This window comes from Homo sapiens, chromosome 16 (genome assembly GCF_000001405.40).
Source record: "Homo sapiens chromosome 16, GRCh38.p14 Primary Assembly".
In the NCBI taxonomy this organism is placed as follows: domain Eukaryota; kingdom Metazoa; phylum Chordata; class Mammalia; order Primates; family Hominidae; genus Homo; species Homo sapiens.
The window spans coordinates 71741381-71763735 of record NC_000016.10 but is presented as its reverse complement, the minus strand read 5'-3'; the positions used below and the strand labels follow the sequence as shown (position 1 = coordinate 71763735).

At 40.4% G+C, this 22355-nt stretch overlaps 1 protein-coding gene and 1 non-coding gene across 3 annotated transcripts in view; both read left to right on the top strand.

Moving 5' to 3' along the window:
* Positions 1-22355, top strand: part of AP1G1 (adaptor related protein complex 1 subunit gamma 1) — a 79835-nt gene that overhangs the window by 45099 nt on the left and 12381 nt on the right. For both annotated transcript variants that reach the window (NM_001128.6, NM_001030007.2), the window contains 10 exons: positions 2169-2224; positions 4815-4928; positions 7577-7717; positions 9849-9903; positions 13404-13526; positions 13753-13842; positions 15358-15485; positions 17044-17148; positions 18122-18263; positions 18466-18592. In NM_001128.6, coding sequence (NP_001119.3) covers positions 2169-2224; positions 4815-4928; positions 7577-7717; positions 9849-9903; positions 13404-13526; positions 13753-13842; positions 15358-15485; positions 17044-17148; positions 18122-18263; positions 18466-18592 — 1081 coding nt within the window. The remainder of the gene's footprint in view (positions 1-2168; positions 2225-4814; positions 4929-7576; positions 7718-9848; positions 9904-13403; positions 13527-13752; positions 13843-15357; positions 15486-17043; positions 17149-18121; positions 18264-18465; positions 18593-22355) is intronic.
* SNORD71 (small nucleolar RNA, C/D box 71) lies at positions 5249-5334 on the top strand. The gene has a single exon (NR_003059.1). It is a non-coding gene; the product is annotated as a small nucleolar RNA, C/D box 71 (small nucleolar RNA).

Genomic DNA, 22355 nt, shown 5'->3' with positions numbered 1-22355 from the left:
GTACAGTTCTTTTTGTCGGTAGCATTATAGTATCTAGTTAGATAACCAAAGTAACTTAGGTTAAGTTCTTTTCCTCTCCCCACCTTTCAGACAGAATGGTAACATACCATATATATTGTTCGCACCATACTTTGTTCACCTAACATTATCTTGGAGCCACTTCCAAATTCATGCATAGAGATAAGTCATGTTCTTTTTTTCTTAATTGTGATAAAATATATATAACATAAAATTAACCATTTTAAGCATTTTTAAGTGAACAGTTCAGTTAGTACACTCATCTTGTTGTGTAACCAGTACTATAGTTTATCTCCAGAACTTTTTTGTGTTCTTAAAGTCTGTATCCATTAAACAATAACTCTCCATGCTGTAACTATCTGTAGTCCCTGGCAACCACCATTCTACTTTCCGTCTGTGAATTTGACTACTCTCAGGTGCCTCTGAAGAGATACAAGAAAAAAACCCAAAATGTTTTTTCTACTTTTTACTCTCTACTCTCACACAATCATTCAACACTTCACTTCTTTTTTGTTTTGTTTTAGTGACAGGGTCTCTCCCTGTTGCTCAGGCTGATCTTGAACTCCTGGCCTCAAGCAATCTTTCCACCTCAGCCTCCCGAGTAATGTGAGCCATCATGTCCAGCTCCAGCATTTCACTTCTGACGCCATATGTGTTGGGGCTATTTCCCTATACATCAAGCAGTTTTCTGGTGAATACCAGCTGGGTATCTTCTAATTGAATTCAATTCTGACACTGTCTCCCTGGAGATAAGGTGTCACATCCCACAGTTTGAGGGCTCAGTCCCAGAAGACTGACCCCCCGCCGCCCCAACTTCAGATGCCACTCCCAAGCTCAGATTGTGACCTGTGCTTCTGACTAACCAGTTGTAAGTCAGGGTTCCCACAACCCCCTCCTCAGTTTTGGTTAGTTTGCTAGAGTGGCTCACAGAACTCAGGAAAACACTTTACTTATGCTTGCTGGTTTGTTATAAAGGATATAGATGAACAGCCAGATGGAAGAGATGCATAGGGCAAGGCATGTGGGAAGGAGTTGGAAGCTTCCATACCCTCTCCAGATGTGCTGCCCTCCAGGAAGCTCCACATGTTCAGCTATCTGGAAGCTCCTCTGAACCCTGTCCATTTGGGATTTTTGGAGGCCTCATTACACAGACATGATTGATTAAATCATCGGTGATCAGCTTAACCTTCAGCATCTCTCCCCTCCCCAAGGTTGGGGGATGAGACTGAAAGTTCCAATCGTCTAATATCATGGTTGTTCCCCTGGAAACCAGTCTCCATTCTGAGGCTATCTTAGGAGCCCATTGAGAGTCATATCATTAGAACTAAAGATGCTGTCACACAGGAAATTCCAAGGGATTTAGGAGTTGTATGCCAGGAAACAGGGACAAAAACCACATATGTATTTCACCATATCACAGTACCTCATATAAGTGGAATTGTTCAGTTTTTATCCTTTTGAAAAGCAGATTATCTTATTTCATTTAACATAATGTCTTCAAGGTTGAACCATGTGTCAGAATGCATTCTGTCTTAATGGCTGCGTGACATTCCATATTGCATGGGTGTGCCATAGTATAATTAGCAAATTTGCTATTAACGGAGTTTTAGGGTATCTCCTATCATTTGCAGTTATCAGTAGTGCCACAGTAGACTTTTGTCTATATGTACAGTTGTTTGTCAGATCAATTCCTAAAAGTGAAATTGATAAAACAGGGAATATATATTCATTTTAAATATAGTTATTGCCAGATTTCCCTCTAAAGAGGCTGTACTAATATTATTCTTCCACTGACAAAACACTGTCAAAGCATTAAAACAACCTTCCAGCACTTACCTTTAGAATATGATTTTAAGAGTTTGCCTTTAGATTTTTTCCTTTTTTTTTTTTTTTTTTTTTTTGAGATGGAGTCTTGCTCTGTTGCTCCGACTGGAATACAGTGGTATGATCTTGACTCACTGACCTGGCGATCCACCGGCCTTGGCCTCCCAAAGTTCTGGGATTACAGGCGTGAGCCACCGCACCCAGCTCCTTTTTTTTTTTGCTAGCAGTCTGTGAAGCACCAGAGGTCATGAAGTGATCCTTTAAACTCAGGAAACAATATAAAACTTCCATTTTCCTAAATTTCGACCTATGCTGTTTCTCTTTAGGTCCTAGCCATAAATATCCTGGGTCGTTTCTTATTGAACAATGACAAGAATATTAGGTAAGTTAACTGAAATATGTCTTTTATCTTGGATATTATAAGCCCAGTATTTTAAGAGCGATTCTGCTCAAGATCATACATGTATTAAGTCACATATTTAGAACTTTTAGCTCAGAATTTTTATGTTTTTCTGGTCTTAAAACACTGTTTTGTGAAGAACTTGAGGATTTATCTCATGGCATATATTCCTATTTGTTCTGTAAATCAGGAGTCAGCAAAATTTTTCTGTAAAGGGTCAGATGGTAAATATTTTAGGCTTTGTGGGCCATGGAGTCTTTGGTAACTACTCACCTCTGCCCCTTAGCATGAAATTAGCCATAGATAATATGTAAATGATGAGTGTGTCTGTGTTCAGTAAATTGATTTATTTACATGAAACTTGGGAGCTAGTATGAAAAAAATATTTTGATGTACGAAAACAGCAGAGAGCTGGGTTTTACAGGTGGGCTGTAGTTTGTTGACCCCTGCTCTAAATTAAGAAATATGTAACATTTCAGGTAGCAAATCTGGAATGTCTTTGTGAACTCTAGCTAGTTTTTTAGGTAAATGAATTGATCAGTATTATCTTTTATTTTGTTATTTTCCTGTATGTAGTACGTATTCCTGCTTACCTGTTTTTCTAATCAGGAGAAATTTTTCTTGTATTAAACATGAAAAGATGTGGAAGCTAGGCGTAGTGGTTCACCCCTGTAATGCCAACACTTTGGGAGGCAGAGATGGGTAGATCATGATCCCAGGAGTTCGAGACCAGCCTGGGCAACATGGCAAAACTCCATCTCTACAGAAAAATACAAAAATGAGCCAGGTGGCTTGGTGATGTGCACCTGTAGTCCCAGCTACTCAGGAGGCTGAGGTGGGAGGATCACCTGAACCCAGGAGGTTAAAGCTGCAGTGAGCTGTGATCATGCCACTGCATTCCAGTCTAGGTGACACAGAGAGACCCTGTTTCTTTTTTTTTTTTTTTTTGAGATGGAGTTTCGCTCTTGTTGCCCAGGCTGGAGTGCAGTGGCACAATCTTGGCTCACTGCAACCTCCGCCTCCCGAGTTCAAGCGATTCTCTTGCCTCACCCTCCCGAGTAGCTGGGTTTACAGGCGAACGCCACCACGCCCAGCTAATTTTTTTGTATTTTTAGTAGAGACGGGGTTTCACCATGTTGGCTGGGCTGGTCTTTAACTCCTAACCTTAGGTAATCAGCCCACCTTGTCCTCCTGAAGTGCTGGGATTACAGGCGTGAGCCACCACACCTGGCCGAGACCCTGTTTCAAAAAAAAAAAAAAAAAGATGTGGAAATAATTATTGTGGCACCCTGAGTTATCTTCTCCTTCTAAAGAACACTTGGATTGCCGGGCGTGGTGGCTCACACCTGTAATCCAGCACTTTGGCAGGCTAAGGTGGGAGGAACGCTTGAGCCCAAGAGTTTGAGACCAGCCTGGGCAACATAGTGGGGGACCCCATCTCTATTAAAAAATAAATACATAAATAAAATGTTAAAACACTAACATACTAAGTTAAATACTTGGATTTTAAACTCAAATTTTTATAGATACAGTTTTGGTACTAGATCAAATAAAAGCAGAGAAAACTCACATGTTAAAAGTAAAATTGCATTTTGGGGGAAAGGCAGCCTTAAAAGACATATTATATGCTCTTTTTGTTTTACTATTTGGAAAACTTTTAAAGAATTGAGTCAGTCACTTCTATTTATTTTATATTTTATATTTAATTTAATTTAATTAATTTTTTTTTTTTTTGAGACAGAGTCTCGCTCTGTCGCCTAGGCTGGAGTGCAGTGGCACGATCTCCGCTGACTGCAAGCTCCACCTCCTGGGTTCACGCCATTCTCCTGCCTCAGCCTCCTGAGTAGCTGGGACTACAGGTGCCTGCCACCACGCCCAGCTAGTTTTTTGTATTTTTAGTAGAGACGTGGTTTCACCATGGTAGCCAGGGTGGTCTTAATCTCCTGACCTCTTGATCCGCCCACCTGGGCCTCCCAAAGTGCTGGGATTATAGGCATGAGCCACCGCGCCCAGTCCCAATTTTATTTTTTTTTGAGACAGAGTCTCGCTCTGTCACCCAGGCTGGAGTGCAGTGGCATGATCTCAGCCCACTGCAACCGCAGCCTCCCAGGTTCCAGCAATTCTCATGCCTCAGCCCCTCGAGTAGCTGGGACTACAGGCACCTAACACCCATGTGCCCAGCTACTTTTTATATTTTTATTAGAGATAGGGTTTCACCATGTTGGCCAGGCTGGTCTTGAACTCCTGACCTCAGGTATCCACCTGCCTCGGCCTCCCACAGTGCTGGGATTACAGGTGTGAGCCACCATGCCCGGCCTACTTTTAGAAGTTTAAAAGGACTTGACCATGAATACAAATCTAAAATCCAAAGCACCTCCTGGTTGCCACTATTTTAGATTATGGTATCGCTTATACCTTTGAAATGTTACTTTTATGTTCACTAACTTTCTTTTAAATAAAAATGTATGCTTTCTCTTATCCATTAGACGTCTTTCTTTTTATTATTTAAACGGAGAAAAACTATCCTGAATTTTACATTTTAACTCTGTTATTTTGCAACTGTTTCATCCAGATATGTGGCTCTGACATCTTTGTTGAAGACTGTACAGACAGATCATAATGCAGTACAGAGGCACAGAAGCACAATTGTGGACTGTCTTAAAGATTTGGATGTCTCAATAAAACGGTAACAAACTGAGAGCCTTTCTCAGTCTAGTGTTTTTGGTAAATTGAGTGACAGATTATTGATAGCTCTATGCCGCTGCCATGTGATACTTTGTTTTCAGAGCAAGAGTGTTGACATTTATGTATTTAGTCATTGTGTTCACAGATGGACTCTGCTCAGTGAATCCTTTTTTTAGAAAGGATTGGCAGGGAGAAGTTTAGGTTGTTAAGGAGGCCAATAAGAATACTTAAGTGCACACTGAAGTTGTCCTTGGCTCTTTGATAAATACAACAGGCACAGATAAGCTAGGCAAAAGTTTACCTAGTGGAGGTACTGTGCTTTGTGTGTTGGAGGATGAAAGTACGGAGTGATCCATCGGCTAAGTGTCTTGTCACAATGCTGACACTCAAACTGCTGACAGCACACGTTTTTCACAGTACTTACGCCCCAGGATCCTGAAGGCAGCATATTGCTTAGAACAGTGTATCCTGAAATGACTGTTAGGCAGCAGGTAGCACTCTCAAAAAGCATAAATCTCTTCCCTCAGTGGAGTAATTCTACTGGATGTCTTCTTAGAACTCTAGATGTTTGTAGAATATGTAGAACTTAGCTAAAGTTGGCCTCTGAACTTTTGGTTGTATGTTCAAATCTAGAACAAAGTATATTTAAAGTGATCTCTGAAACCATTCAGTTAACAAACATTTATTGATGGTGAGTTCCTTTGATTTGCACAGAACAGGTACAAATAAAAGGTGCTAAGTGCTTGAGCAATCTAAAGATAAGACCTAAACTTAATAACACCAACTTTTATATAGTGCTTTGCAAAAGATTTTATAAGTACCCTCTCAGTGGGTTCTCAGAGCAGGCCAATGAGAGAGCCTAAGCAACTACTTCTATCCCTAATTAACAGATTAGTTACAATTCAGTCCCATGGGGATCAAATGACTTAACCTAAACCTTAATCCTTGTAAGGGGCAGTCCTGGGAATAGATATTAGCCTTCTGACTCTTTTTGTGTTGTTTCTCTCTAGCTCATTACTGGGCTGTGAATTTCAAAAAAAGTGAAACTTGTGTCTCTTTGAAAGGATATATAACAGTAAGAGCTTAGACTCTGGAGCCAGACTGCCTCATTTCATTTTCTGACTCTGCCTTTAATAGACTGGGTCAAATTACTTAAACTTTCAGTGCCTCAATTGCCTCATAAGTAAAATACAGATAGAAGGGCAACCACTTCATAGGGTTATGCAGGATAAATTGAATTAATATATGTAAATTACATAAGCACCCTATAAAAGTTATTATATCTAAGGATTGAATTTTTTGCTACTTACATGTTAGCTAAGATGAAAGTATCCCCACTCGTTAATTTTTTTTTTTTTTTGGAGACGGAGTCTTGTGTCGCTCAGGCTGGAGTGTGGTGGTGCGACCTCGGCTCACTGCAACTTCCGTCTCCTGAGTTCAAGCGATTCTCCTGTCTCAGCCTCTCAAGTACCTGGGATTACAGGCGCCTGCCACCACACCCGGCTAATTTTTATATTTTTAGTAGAGACAGGGTTTTGCCGTATTGGCTAGGTTGGTCTCGAACTCCTGACCTCAGGTGATCTGCCTGCCTTGGCCTCCCAAAGTGCTGGGATTACAGGCGTGAGCCACTTGTGCCCAGCCTAAATTGTTACTTTTGAAAGTCAGTGTACATATAGTGTTTGATATTATTGACCAAGTATGGAAAGATGCATATAGCAACCTTACAGCTTTTACATGTTAAACATTCCTATTTTTAACTTCATTGCCAACTTTGAATAGGCAGTTATAGAAACTCTTATTTGTCCTCCTAGGACATGCCATTTTTTTTTTCCTTCTCATGGCCCTCATTTTCCCTTTGAATTTTTTTTTTTTTTTTTTGAGACAGAGTCTCACTCTGTTTCCGAGGCTGGAGTGCCTCACTTCACTGCAATCTCTGTCTCCTGGGTTCAAGCAATTCTCCTACCTCAGCCTCCCTAGTACCTGGGACTACAGGCGCCCACCACCATGCCCGGCTAATTTTTGTATTTTTAGTACAGAAGTGCTTTCACCATGTTGGCCATGCTGGTCTCAAACTCCTGACCTCAGGTGATTCGCCTGCCTTGGCCTCCCAAAGTGGTGAGAAAACAGGTGTGAGCCACCACGCTCGGCCTTGAATTTGTTTTTAATTTGAATTTTCTGCATACCTTTTGACATAAACTATATTACATCATGTTTGGACAGAGTGGGGTGTAATAAAAGTAGAATATGGTGACTTAACATGTCACATTTTTAAGGAATGAGGCAGATAGGTATTATTATTGGGTAATACATTTATTTGTTGCCCCTCTTTTTGAGACTCTCAGGTATTCTAACTTCCACCTTTGTAGAACAGCCTGTTGAACCCAAGCTGCATGTTTGGACATTAGTGGTATATCTCGTAGGGACTTTTGAAGAAGAATATTGCATGAAGATTCAAAATATCAAAACTAACTTTGATTATGTAAGAATACATCTCCTTGGTTATTTCGTGTGCAAAGATTGGGATCACAAGATCGTGCAAGGACGTCAGCACATCTGGCAGTACTTGGTGTTCACAGAGTGCATACCTGGGTCTTTGTTTCATTTCCACTATAAATTTCTTAACTGTTTTTAATTTTTCCCTTCTGCAAGGCGTGCAATGGAATTGAGTTTTGCCCTGGTAAATGGGAATAATATCCGAGGCATGATGAAAGAATTACTTTATTTTCTGGATTCGTGTGAGCCAGAATTTAAAGCAGACTGTGCATCTGGAATCTTTCTTGCTGCAGAAAAGTAAGATTTAATTTTTACCTTTATTGGTAAAGTCTGCTTGGAACTTTTGGAAGTGTCTTTAAAACATGGGGAGGGGGCTGGGCGCGGTGGCACACGCCTGCAGTCTCAGCAGTTTGGGAGGCCAAGGCAGGTGGATCATGAAGTCAGGAGTTCGAGACCAGCCTGGCCAACATAGTGAAACCCTGTCGCCACTAAAAATACAAAAATTTGTTGGGCCTGGTGGCACGCGCCTGTAGTCCCAGCTACTCGGCAGGCTGAGGCAGGAGAATCACTTGAACCTGGGAGGTGGAGGTTGCAGTGAGCCAAGGTTATGCCACTGCACTCCAGCCTAGGTGACAGAGCAAGACTCCATCTCAAAAACAAAACAAAAAAAAAAAAATGGGGAAACTACTTTAAATATGTTTAAAACACATAACATTTATTTCAAACCCTCAATTATAAATTAGCTTGGAGAAGGCTATTATAGCCAGCATTTAAATATGCTGAGACCAAAAAAATTTCACACTTTTATGAAATCTTCTCCTTTATCTGTTCTTTAACCTCTCATCTATGATGCTGGTTTTTTTTGTTTTGGGTTTTTTTGAGACAGGGTCTCACTTTGTCACCTAGGCTGGAGTGCAGTGGCACAGTCTCGGCTCAGTGCAACCTTGACCTCCCAGGTTCAGGGGATCCTCCTGCCTCAGCCCCCCAAGTAGCTGGGACCATAGGCTTACGCCACCACACCCTGCTAATTTCTGGGTTTGTTTTTTTCTTTTTGTAGAGATGGGGTTTCGCTATGTTGTCCAGGCTGGTCTCGAACTCCTGGACTCAAGCGATTCGCCTGCCTCAGCCTCCCAAAGTGCTAGGATTACAGGCATCAGCCACCACACCTGGCCTGTGATGCTGTTTTAATAAAGGCAATAGAACAGTTACAGCACCTGAATTGCAGCTCTATGCAGAATTTTGAGGAAGTACCTTATGATTTTAGTAGTACAGCTATTCTTTCTCTTCTTTCCACTCTGAATTTAAGGAAACAAGTTTTTAGTCCAAATGTTGTCTTGGTCTGAAAACAGTCCCTTTTCTTCTTTCTTCTTTATCGTCTCCTGCCCTGACTGAATGATTCATTTTCTCTGAAACTGAAAACAAATCTCATTTCTCAGCTTAGCAACTCTTATTGCAATCTTATGGGAAACATCTGAGTTTGACTATGTACCCTCTTTTTTTTTTTTCTTTAATTTTAGAAACGGAGTCTTGCTCTGTCACCCAGGCTGGAGGGCAGTGGCCCAGTCATAGCTTACTGCAGCCTGGACTTCTGGGCTTAAGCCATCCTTCTGCCTCAGCCTCCTGAGTAGCTGGGACTGTAGCTGCAAATCATCATGTGCCACTAATTTTTTAATTTTTATTTTGTAGAGATGGGGTCTTGCTATGTTACCCAGGTTTGTGTGGAACTCCTGGCCTCAAGCACTCCTTCCTCCTTGGCGTCCCAAAGTACTGGGATTATAGGCATGAGCCACTGAAGTCAGTTGACTGTATACCTTTTTATCACTCTTTGAAATGGCATTTGCTGCTAGATTTGAAGTTGAAATGTTTCCAGATATGTTCACTTATCCAGGGAACCTAGAAAAGACTGTAGGACAGGATTTTCTTCTCTTTTCTTTTCCTTTCTTTTCCTTTCCTTCCTTTCTTTCTTTCTTTCTTTTTCTTTCTTTTCTTTCTCTCTCTTTTTTGTTCCTTCCTTCCTTCCTTCCTTCTTTCCTTCCATCTTCTTTCCTTCTTTCTTTTCTTTCTTCTCTTCTCTTTCTTCCCTTTCTTTTCTTTCTTCTGTTTCTTCTCTTTCTTTTCTCTCTCTTCTTTCTCACTGTAGCCTCAACCTCCTAGGCTCAGGCAATCCTCCTACCTCAACCTCCCAGAGTAGCTGAACTACAGGCACCCACCACCACACCCAGCTAATTTTTGTATTTTTTGGTGAGATGGAGTTTCACCGTGTTGCCCAGGCTGGTCTCGAACTCCTGAGCTCAGGTGATCTCCCACCTCGGCCTCCCAAGATGTTGGGATGACAGGTGTGAGTCACCCTGCTTGGGCAGGATTTTCTAGTCACTGAAAACGGTATATTTTACTGGTTCCAAGTGTCCCTTTCCATTGTTTTTTTCAGGTATGCACCTTCCAAACGATGGCATATAGACACAATTATGCGTGTTTTGACAACGGTAAGTAGCTTCTTTCAGACAGCATATACGAAGTGCTGGGATATACTGATGTTATCATGAAGTTTATGTTCTAGTCAGGGAGGTAAGAAATTCACAAGTAAATAGGTAACATTAATGTCAGTTAGGAATAAATGCCATGAAGAAAAACCTAAAGCAGCATGGAGGAATATAATGATGGCAGGATAAGGTGGGATATAGGGCAACTGGCCAAGTGTTTTAGATTAGAGTTAGTCAGGGAGGTCTCTCAGAGGAGATAACATTTGAGTAGAGACCTAAGAGACATGAGGTGCAAGCCATGCAGAGATCGTGAGGAATAGTGTACCATACGGAGGGAACCCTAAGTGCAAAGACCTGAGGTAGGAACAAGCATAGCTTGCTTGGAGAGCAACAGGAAGGCAAGTGAAGCCATAAAGTGAGAGAGGCAGAGAATGGTAGGATGGATGTCAGAGACATAAGCGGAGCCAGACTATGTAGGCCTCATGGGAGCTTGCATTTTATTTTGAATATGTTAGGAAGCCATTGCAGGGTTTTGAATGGCTAAAGTTACTCAGGATTTGAAATCCTGTTTTGGATGGGATCCTTTCTTTGGCATTCTTGCAGAAATTCAGGGTTTCTGTGTTTATTATTCAATTAGTAGGCAAGGATTAGGTATTTAAGAGTAAAAATGAAAGTGCAGTGACATGTAAAGAAAACCATTTCCATTAATTAAGTCACTAGAAGTAGCTACTGTAAAGGAAAAGCCACAAATTTAACCATATTAAAATTTAAAAATTGAATAACAAAAAGGGGAACAGTCTACGATTTAAAAGGCAAATTAACAACTGGGGAAAACATTAACTTATGACAGCATATTAATATATTCAATCTATGAATAATTTATAATTGATAGGAAATACCACTCTAATGGAAAAATTGGTATTTGAACCAGCAATTCATGAAGAAAGAAATGGCTAATTAACATTTGAAAAAATTTTCTTATTAAAGAAATAAAGTAAAATTGAGGTATCATTTTTCACATTTCGTATTTTTTAATCTAATTCCCAGTGTTAGAAAATAGAGAAACAGGCAGTACTCTTCACTTTATGGGAGTATAGGATGATGCCATCTTTTTACTATGCAGTTTGGTAGCATGTAGGAAAAGCCTTAAATTGTACCCTTTGATTCATTAATTCAATTTTTAGGACTTTAGCCTGAAAAAATAATAGGACAAGTACACAAAAATGTGTATGTAAAAGTATTCATCCTAATATTGTTTATAGTAGGAGAAAACCGGAAACAACTAGTAGTCCCCAAATGGGGATTAAGTAAATTATGAAACATCTGTAGGGAGAAAATTATATCATTGAAATTATGACTTATATGTATTTGTTGACTTATGAAATTATGACTTATATGTATATGTATTTGTTGCTGTGGAATTCTCTCTGGGGCATACTCGTTTTTTAGTTTACTTACAATGAATTAACTTGGTAAAAGGTTAAAAGTTAATAAATTTGATTAGCAAGGGGAAAAATTATAATCTAACAAAATGTAATTAACATAATGATGAACAGGACATGTTTTCCTAGTTTTCATGAGGCTCAAAAGAAGGGAGAAATTAACACTCCTGAAGGAAAGTGTTTATGAGAATTCAAAAGCTTTTTTTTTGTGCCCCTGATTTTATTTTTCTAACTGACTTGTGTTCTCTTATGATCATGTGATTTGTTTTCTTTAGCCTGTTACATGCTGGGTTACATTGATATTTGAATGCCTAACCAGCCTTACATACCTGGAATACGTGGTCAGGGTATATTATTCTTTTTATAACTTTGTTGGGTTTGATTTGCTAATATCTTGTTGAGTATTTTTATATGTGTATTCATGAGAGAGATTGGCTTATAGTTTTCTCTTATAATGTTGTTTTTGACCCATGTGTTATTTAGAAGTATGTTCTTTTAATCTCCAAATATTTTGGGATTTTTTTGCACCTGTCTTTGTGTTGCAGATTTCTAGTTTAATTCTGTGTGGTCTAAGAGCATACTGTCTATGATTTATGTTATTTGAAATTTGTTAAGATATTTTTTATGACCCAGAATATGGTCTTTCTTGGTTCAGTGTAAGTTTAAGAAAAATGTGTATTCTGCTGCTGTTGAATGAAGTAGTCTTATTATACAAACCCATTAGATCACCCTGATGCTTTCTTGTATTTAATGCACTCTGCTTTACGGAAGGATGTAAATAAACTATACTGCAAATTACCTGCTTTTTAGCTTCTCACCTTTCCTTCTGATCATTTTCCCAGAATTCTTCCTCTGTCTTTGTGTTTCTTAACAGGAGTGACCTGATAAAACCCTGATCACCTGGCTGTTTTTTTTTTTTTTTCTTTTTTTTCCTTTCCAAAATACACATGGTTAGGACTGGTCTCAGTCTTACAAATTAAATCTATTGTTCTATTTAGGAATGGGAGATTGACCAAGGTTGGGTGATAAAGTTTTAAACCTTTACATTATTATTATTATTATTATTATTGTTGGTAGTGATGGAGTCTTGCTGTGTGGCCCAGGCTTGTGTCAAACTCCTGGCCTCAAGCAGTCATCTTGCTTCAGCCATCCAAAGTGCTGCGATTACAGGTGTGAGCCACTGTGTCCAGCCTTCCTTTTTTAATTTGGACAAAGAGAAATTTTTTTTTTTTTTTTTTTGAGACGGAGTCTCAGTCTGTTGCTCAGGCTGGAGTGCAGTGGCGCAAACTCGGCTCACTGCAAGCTCGGCCTCCTGGGTTCACGCCATTCTGCTGTCTCAGCCTCCTGAGTAGCTGGGACTACAAGCACCCACCACATGCCCGGCTAATTTTTTGTATTTTTAGTAGAGACGGGGTTTCATCGTGTTAGCCAGGATGGTCTCGATCTCCTGACCTTGTGATCCACCCGCCTTGGCCTCCCAAAGTGCTGGGATTACAGGCGTGAGCCACCACACCCGGCCTTTGGACAAAGAGAAAATTTTTAAAAATAAAATAAAATTTAAAAATGTAACATATTTAAATAAGACTTTGAAGTTTGAGCTGTTATGAACCTGAGAATTGGAACCAAATTTATCTTTGAGGGTGTTTTCTGGTATTCTTCTTTTAAAAACAATAGTAATGGCTGGGCGCAGTGGCACACGCCTGTAATCCCAGCACTTTGAGAGGCCGAGGCAGGTGGATCATCTGAGGTCAGGAGTTCGAGACCACCCTGACCAACATGGTGAAACCCCATCTCTACTAAAAATAGAAAAAATTAGCCAGGTGTGGTGGCATGTACCTGTAGTCCCAGCTACTTGGGAGGCTGAGGCATGAGAATCGCTTGAACCTGGGAGGTGGAGGTTGCAGTGAGCCAAGATCGCGCTATCGCACTCCAGCCTGGGTGACAGAGCGAGACTCTGTCTCAAAAAAAGAAAGGAAAAAACACACAGTAATAATAATAGCTAACACTTGTTATCATCATTTCTGTGTGTTTCTAGGGGTAATTGTCTGCATTTCCTTTTAGGCAGGAAGTTATGTTCGTGATGATGCAGTCCCCAATTTAATCCAGTTAATAACTAATAGTGTGGAGATGCATGCCTATACTGTCCAGCGCCTGTACAAAGCAATTCTTGGTGATTATTCTCAAGTAAGTACTTCATTCAACTATTTTAGGGGGTAATTTTACCCTCAATTTTTCTGGTATGTTTTTCTTCTTTTTTTTCCCCCCTCCTCTCTCCCCTTTGGTATGTCTTTATTTCTAACACTCTAGATATGCACAGTTTTGATCTTTATTATGAGATGACCTATGATTTGCATTAAATAACTTTGGAAAAATTGAAGTTCTTGAGAAACGTTGACTTTTCTTTTCACAGCAACCTTTGGTACAAGTGGCTGCATGGTGTATAGGTGAATATGGTGATCTTCTTGTATCTGGCCAGTGTGAAGAGGAAGAGCCTATTCAGGTACTCCTTGTCACTCTTGGTTAAGTGGGGGAAAATAGTGGTTTTGGTTATAGGAGAGTAGTGTTTAATGGGGAGTTGAGGTTGATTCCTTGAAAACTTTTTAGGCCAGGCGTGGTGGCTCATGCCTATAATCCCAGCGCTTTGGGAGGCTGAGATGGGAGCATCGCTTGAGCCCAGGAGTTTGAGACCAGCCTGGGCAACATGGTGAAACTCTGTCTCTACAAAAGACACAAATATTAGACAGGTATGATGGTGTCTAGTCCCAGCTACTCAGGAGTGAGACCCTGTCTCAAAAAAATTTAAAAAATACCCAACTTTTTAAAGAAGCAAACGCGAATTATATTGGAAAACCTGCCATTTTTTGAGATGGAACTTATTGAGCCATTGTGAGGTTTTTTGTTTTTTTTTTTTTAATAGAGTCTCACTCTGTCACCCAAGCTGGAGTGCCATGGTGGGATCACAATTCACTGCAGCCTTGATCTCCTGGGTTTCAAGCGATCTTCCCACCTCAGCCTCCTGAGTAGCTGGGACTATAGGCAGGCACCACCCTGGCTAGTTTATTCTACTTTTTTTTTGTAGAGACAGGGTTTCACCGTGTTGCCCAGGCTGGTCTTGAACTTCTGGACTCAAGCAATCTGCCTGCCTTGGCCTCTCAAAGTGTTGGGATTAACAGGCATTGCTGAGTGTGGTGGCTCATGCCTGTAATCCCAGCACTTTGGGAGGCCAAGGCGGGTGGATCATGAGGTCACCTGCAGGGTGGTTAGCCAGACCATCCTGGCTAACACAGTGAAACCCTATCTCTACTAAAAAGTAGAAAAAATTGGCCGGGCGTGGTGGCAGGCACCTGTAGTCCCAGCTACTCGGGAGGCTGAGGCAGGAGAATGGCGTGAACCCGGGAGGTGGAGCTTGCAGTGAGCCAAGATTGCGCCACTGCATTCCAGCCTGGGTGACAGAGCCAGACTCCGTCTCAAAACAAAAAAAACAAAAAAAAAACAAAACAGGTGTGAGCCACTTTGCCTGGCCCCATTGTGAGATTTTAAAACCACTTTAGGCCCAAGTCTCTGTCCTAGTGGACTGAATTACTGTTTCTCTTACCCTCTGGCTGGTAAACAAGAAGAAATGAGACATGTATCCATGTTCTTATTTGCACATTAAAGGACTGGCTTTAAAAGGGAAAATTGTGGCAACAACACTTGAACTCTGTATGTTTTTCTTTTCTTCTTCTGTTTCTGCCACTTGAAGCTCTAATATTGCCTCTCAGCCCCAGTGGTCATTTTTCACTCTTTTTACCCCCACCTGCTCTGGTTGATAGAACCAGAGCACTTTTTTTTACCCCCAACTACTCTGGTTGATAGAACAGCTTGGACAGTTACCCTGGCAAAGCACAGGTTGAGTTAGAGGCTTTTGTAACGGTAGGATTGTCTTTCTGGCTGCTTCCCCTGACTTGATATCAGATTTAGATGCTTAATCATGCTACTCATTCTTCATCGTCTTCTTTTTCCTCCTCCTCCTCAGGTAACAGAGGATGAAGTGTTGGATATTTTAGAAAGTGTCCTAATCTCTAATATGTCCACCTCTGTGACACGAGGTTATGCCCTCACTGCCATTATGAAGCTTTCCACTCGATTCACTTGTACTGTAAAGTGAGTATTGAAGAAACATAGGGTGAACAGGTTGTTTTGTAATTAAAAAACAAAAAAAATCCCAAAAAACTTGTTATCATGGAAAATTTCAAGCATAGACAAAAGTAGAGAGAATAATAACACAAATTTCCATTACTTATTTCTCCACAGTCACAGTGATCAATTTGTGGTTAATCTTTATTCATCAGCACTTTGTTCCCTCTCATTCTTTTACTCCCTTGTGGATTATTTTGAAGCAGAAAAGTTTAGGGGGTTTTGTTTGTTTGTTGAGACAGGGTCTCGCTCTCTTACCCAGGATGGGGTGCAGTGGCGCCATCATATTTTACTGCAACCTTGAACTCCTGGGCTTAAGGGATCTTCCTGTCTCAGCCTCCAGAGGAGCTGGGACTATAAGTGCACACCATCGTGCCTGGCTAATTTTTACATTTTTTTGTAGAGAAAGTGTTTCGTTTGTTTGCCCAGGCTGGTCTCAAACTCCTGGGCTCAAGTGATCCTCCTGCCCTGACCTCCCAAAGTGCAGGGATTACAGATGTGACCCACTCCACCTGGCCTAAAAGTTACGTTTTTAGAATGAGATTTCTAATACCTTTTTTTTTTCTTTTTAAGTTGAGAATCTACTTCCCCATATAAAGGTTTTGGTTTATTTGTATTTTATATTTCATTTTATTTTATGACAGAATCTTGCTCTGTTGCCAGGCTGGAGTGCAGTGGCATACAATCTCGGCTCACTGCAATCTCCATCTCCAGGGTTCAAGCAATTCTCCTGCCTCAGCCTCCTGAGTAGCTGGGATTACAGGCGCACACCACCATGCCTGGCTAATTTTTGTATTTTTTGGTGGAGATGGGGTTTCACCATTTTGGCCAGACTGGTCTCGAACTCCTGACCTTGTAATCTGGCCAAGGTTTTGGTTTATTATATTTTGACAAGTCTTAATAGGAATAAAATCATGAATGTTTTGGTGATTAAATCTTTTAATTCTCCTCTTTGCTTTTTTGAATAAAGTAGATTCTCAGGTCACTTTCCCACCCAAGCATATTTAAGGCCAACGTAGTTCTTGTAGTCTTTCTGCTTCACTTTTAAATGTGAAGTCTTATAAAAAATGGTATTGAATTACTTTTAAAATTCTGAACTGGAAGAATTTGGGGTCAACATTTTGAGGCTCTGACCCTTTTATAGATTAAAAATTATTTAAAAATTATCAAAGAAGAGAATGAACAGTACAAATTTCTTTTGTGGCAAAGTAATAGTTGGTACTTTTGTCTAGCAAAGTTTAGGGAGTGGCATATATATATGTGTTTTTTCCACACCATCATTGTTGCTGAATGGGGATGGCATATTTAACAGACAAAAATCTAGTGTTACAATGAGAATAGTATAATGCGAATGTCAGATAAATGGATGAAAGTAAAGTGTTTTGTTTTTGAAAAACTATATAAATTAAGAAAAAATGAGTATTTCAGTATTTTAACCAGAAAATTCTGGCTTATTAAACATTATCTCTGCTTATTTGTGAATTTTCTTTTGGGTATTTTATTTCGTTTGTCATTTTATCTATAGCCGAATTAAGAAAGTGGTTTCCATCTACGGAAGCAGCATTGATGTGGAACTCCAGCAGAGGGCAGTAGAATATAATGCACTTTTCAAGAAATATGACCACATGAGGTGAGCGAAAGAAACTAAGCAATGCGTGTATCTCTTAGCATCCTGACTAAATTGTCATGGTAATCCATAAAGAAGATTCATTCCTTGTGCTTTATTAATTGTTCCTCGTATCCCTATTTAGTTCTAATTGCTTGTCTGCTTCTGTTTTGTCCATCTTCTATTCTGCCTAGTCTCTAAAGAAATAAATTAACTCTCTTTCATTCCACCTCCAACACTTACACTTTTTTTGATATGGAAAGTTTGCTTTATTTTCTATTTTATTTAGTTAAGAAGTGGGAGGCCGGGCGTGGTGGCTCACGCCTGTAATCCCAGCACTTTGGGAGGCCGAGGCGGGCAGATCACGAGGTCAAGAGATCGAGACCATCCTGGCCAACATGGTGAAACCCCGTCTCTACTAAAAATACAAAAAAATTAGTTGGGCATGGTGGCGCATGCCTGTATTCCCAGCTACTCGAGAGGCTGAAGCAGGAGAATCATTTGAACCTGGGAGGCGGATGTTTCAGTGAGCCAAGATCATGCCACTGCACTCCAGCCTGGCGACAGAGCAAGACTCTGTCTCAAAAAAAAAAGAAGTGGGAGTTGTATTTTTTCAAGACAAATAATCTCATTCAAATTCTTTTACTGTTAACATTCTAGTGTTTGGGTCATCTTTTATTCTTCTATTATACAGTATCTTCTTGACTGTTAATACCTATGGATTTACCTTTCTTTCATCTCAGTCTCTCTACCACTGAAATATATGCTTTGGGATTTAGCTGGGCAGTCTGTTTATTCAAGATTTTTTTGTCTGCCCTTAATCCAGCCAGGAATTTAGGTCATGTATTCTTGTAATCTACCTTCTATTTTAGTGTGTGTGTTGGATGGGGAGGGGAGATAGATCTCCATGCTTGGGCTCAACATAGTTAATGGTGATTATTTTGGGTAGGGAATCTAGGTTAACTGCCTAGAATTTAACCACTTCAGATTCTTCTAGGTCTGCCCTACTTGAGAGAATGCCTGTCATGGAAAAAGTGACCACAAATGGCCCTACTGAGATTGTGCAGACAAATGGAGAGACAGAACCAGCTCCACTAGAGACCAAACCGCCACCCTCTGGGCCACAGCCCACCAGCCAGGTAGCCAGCCTTTCACTTGCTCATCTGGGGCTTCTTACGATTTTATAGTCCCTTACAGCTTGTCTCTTAGCTGAGTCCCTTTAATGTTCCTGGGTTGGTTGATGATTTCCTTCCTTATTTTTACATATTGAAAGAGCTTTGCATTAGATGTATACTAGACAAATCAAATAATAATGAATTGAGGTGTTGTTACCTTGTTTAGGCCAATGATTTATTGGATTTGTTGGGAGGAAATGACATAACACCTGTTATTCCAACTGCGCCTACAAGCAAACCATCTTCTGCTGGTGGAGAACTTCTTGATTTGCTGGGAGACATCAACCTTACAGGTGAGGCAGTCTGGAGCTATTTAATACCTGGGAAAAGATAGAGGCCTCAGGGAAAAACTAAACTGAACCCAGACTTTCCAGCACGTGAATCATTTGAAGATGGGAGAGGCTAAATCAGAAGCAAGAGTCAAATCTTCACAATATCCGGGTTATATGTTGTATACTAATAATGCTCTAAAGATAATTTATACGGATTTCTTAAAGGCAAACTCCTAATTTTGGGTGAATAAATTATTCATAGTGTTTTAAGATAGAAACTACTTTTCCTGGCTGGGCGCAGTGGCTCATGCCTGTAATCCCAGCACTTTGGGAGGCAGAGGCAGGTGGATCACCTGAGGTCAGGAGTTCTAGACCAGCCTGGCCAACATGGTGAAACGCCATCTCTACTAAAAATACAACAATTAGCCGGGTGAAGTGGTGCATGCCTATAATCCCAGCTACTCCGGAGGCTGAGGCAGGAGAATCGCTTGAACCTGAGAGACGGAGGTTGCAGTGAGCCGAGATCGCGCCAGTGTGTACTGCAGCCTGGGTGACAGAGCAAGACTCTGTCTCCAAAAAAAAAAAAAAAAAAACACACTTTCTCTTTCAAGCTCAAAAAATATATCCCGTATCACCTTTGCTTTTAGTGTCCCAAGACATGACTTCTTCTTGGTTCCTTCCCACTAATGGTTAGTTTTCAGTAGCTGTGGCCATTTGTGGAGAGATGTTAACCTGCTACTTACCTCTTCCCTTTCACACTTTCTGTAATTAAAGCAACTGAAGGGCAATCACTCATAATATTCAAACATAACTTTTCATTTGGGAATATTTTTTCTTCTGTTCATATATACCAGTCATTTGTAATTGACATGTTCAGCAATATGATAAACCCGAGTCCAATACAACTTTTATTTTTATTTTGAGATGGAGTCTTGCTCTGTTGCACAGGCTGGAGTGCAGTGGCACGATCTCGACTCACTGCAACCTCCGCCTCCCGGGTTCAAGCGATTCTTCTGCCTCAGCCTCCTGAGTAGCTGGGATCACAGGCACGCACCACCATGCCCTGGCTAATTTTCGTATTTTTAGTAGAGATGGGGTTTCTCCATGTTCGTCAGGCTGGTCCTGAACTCCTGACCTCATGATCCCCCTGCCTCGGCCTCCCAAAGTGCTGGGATTACAGGCGTGAGCCACTTCGCCTGGCCTTTTTTTTTTTTTTTTTGAGACAGAGTCTCACTCTGTCACCCAGGCTGGAGTGCAGTAGCATGATCTCGGCTCACTGCAGCCTCTGCAACCTGGGTTCAAGCAGGTCTCCTGCCTCAGCCTCCTGAATAGCTGGGATTACAGGCGCCTGCTACTGCGCCTGGCTAATTTTTGTAGTTTTAGGAGAGACAGGGTTTCACCATGTAGGCCAGGTTGGTCCCGACCTCGTGATCCACCCACCTCAGCCTCCCAAAGTGCTGGGATTACAGGTGTGAGCCACCACGCCTGGCCTACAACTTCTATCCTAAATTTCAGTGTAAAGTATAGCTGAAAGGTTAAAGTGTCTTTTTTTTTTTTTTTTTGAGACAGAGTCTCACTCTGTCAGCCAGGCTGGAGTGCAGTGGGATTATCTCGGCTCACTTCAACCTCTGCCTCCTGCGTTCAAGTGAGCCTCCTGCCTCAGCCTCCTGAGTAGCTGGGATTATAGGCGAATGCCACCATGCCCGGCTAATTTTTTGTATTTTTAGTAGAGACGGGGTTTTGCTGTCTTCTTTAAGAGGATAATGAAGAGTTAAAGCACACATGACCTTGAGTAAAAAATAGACATAGGATAACAAGTTGGATGGTTAGCTAAGCTCATTCCCACAGGCTGATTTTTTTTTTTCCTAATACAGTGGAGTCACAGAGTATAGGATTTATGTCTGTGTCTTAACAAAATTTCAAAATGTTACTTGTCATGTACTTATGAATCATTTACAAATGGTCAATTTCAAATCCTCAAATGTCAAAGCTGTACTGGATAACCGGCAAAGAAAAAACAACCCCACAGTTAAACCATAGCATATACTTCACCTAATATGTTAGTATTTCCATGTTAATATATATAGCCTTCATAATTATAATTTTAGGTGACTAATACTTTATCAACAAATTTGCTCTGTTTACTCAGTTCGTTAGTATTGGGTAGTTTGGCTTTTTTTTTTGGTTTTTTTGAAACGGAATCTTGCTTTGTTGCCCGGGCTGGAGTGCAACAGCACGATCTCGGCTCACTGCAACCTCTGCCTCCCGGGTTCAAGTGATTCTCCTGCCTCAGCCTCCCGAGTAGCTGGGATTTATAGGCACGTGCCACCATGCCCAGCTAATTTTTGTATTTTTTTATTAGAGATGGGGTTTCACCATGTTGGCCAGGCTGGTCTTGAACTCCTGACCTCAAATGATCCTCCCGCCTTGGCCTCCCAAAGTGCTGGGATTACAGGCATGAGTCACCGCACCCAGCCAGTATGGGGTATTTTGTTTCTAGATTTTTCTTACCTAGCGGCCTCAACAAATATTACATCAATTTGTTCTTATTTTAGATTAATTTGTTAGACTAAGTGACTTAGTCTTTCTGAATCTGGTTAAAATTAGGATGATTAATACTTACTCCATAAGATATTTGTGAGGCCCATTGACCTATTCAGTGCATGATACATAGTAGGCACTTGGTAAATATTATTTACCTTTTCCTCAATTTATATGTTTAACCGCACAGTCATAAGCATTGTATATTATCATTTTAAAAAGCCCTATTGGGTGAAAATTTGGTCCTATTATATTTTATTTTTATTATTATTTTTTAAATTTTGTAGCCCTCTGCCAGGCTTGGTCAGCAGAGAGAGGCCCTATTATTTTTTGATCACAGAGAATGTTTAATATTTATTCACATATTTGTATTATAGATGAGGTTCCTTTCTGAACATTCCTGTATCCTTAGCTCATTTATTGTGGAGTCTTTTCTTTTTGTTCCTACTGTCTTGTTTTCCTAGTGTTATATGTTAAAGCAAAATGATAAAATGTTAAAAAGTCTGGGTTTTCTTGCCTTATTCATAATGTGTTTTAAAGATGTTTTTCCACTTTTTACATTAAGTTTTAAAATTTTGAATTCTAGATTTCTTAATTTATCATTACAGTTTTACCCCATTATATAGAAATTTAAGTCAGTAGAAATTCAGAATAGATTTAACATGTGTTTTTAAAGGGTTTGGAGCAGTAAGTTTCTGCTCTTCTCCTAAACTACCTTGCTATACTTTTACAGGACAAAGAAAAGTGAAAATTTGAGGGAGTTGGGGACCTATATGCTGCCTGTATCTTGAGTAGCCTCTGATTTTCCATGAGAACACATTTCTAAAATTGTTTTGAAAATGGGAATTGGGGGAAATTTTCTCGATTTGATTTTTTAGACTAGGAGAACTGTATGAATATTTCTTTGTCTGCTTCATTGATAATCTGCTGGACTGCACAAATGGTGTTTGCATTTATTTTAGCTTCTCGTGCTTGCTTAGCCATCCGTATTTCTATTCTCTTTGCTAATTTTTAATATGTCATTTACTTGTTTTTGTTTTTGAGATGGTGTCTTGCTCTGTCACCCAGGCTGGAGTGCAATGGTGTGATCTTGGCTCACTGCAACCTTTGCCTCCCAGATTCAAGCGATTCTCCTGCCTCAGCCTCCCGAGTGGCTGGGACTATAGGCGCGTGCCACCACACCCGGCTAATTTTTGTATTTTTAGTAGAGATAGGGTTTCGCTGTGTTGGCCAGGCTGGTCTC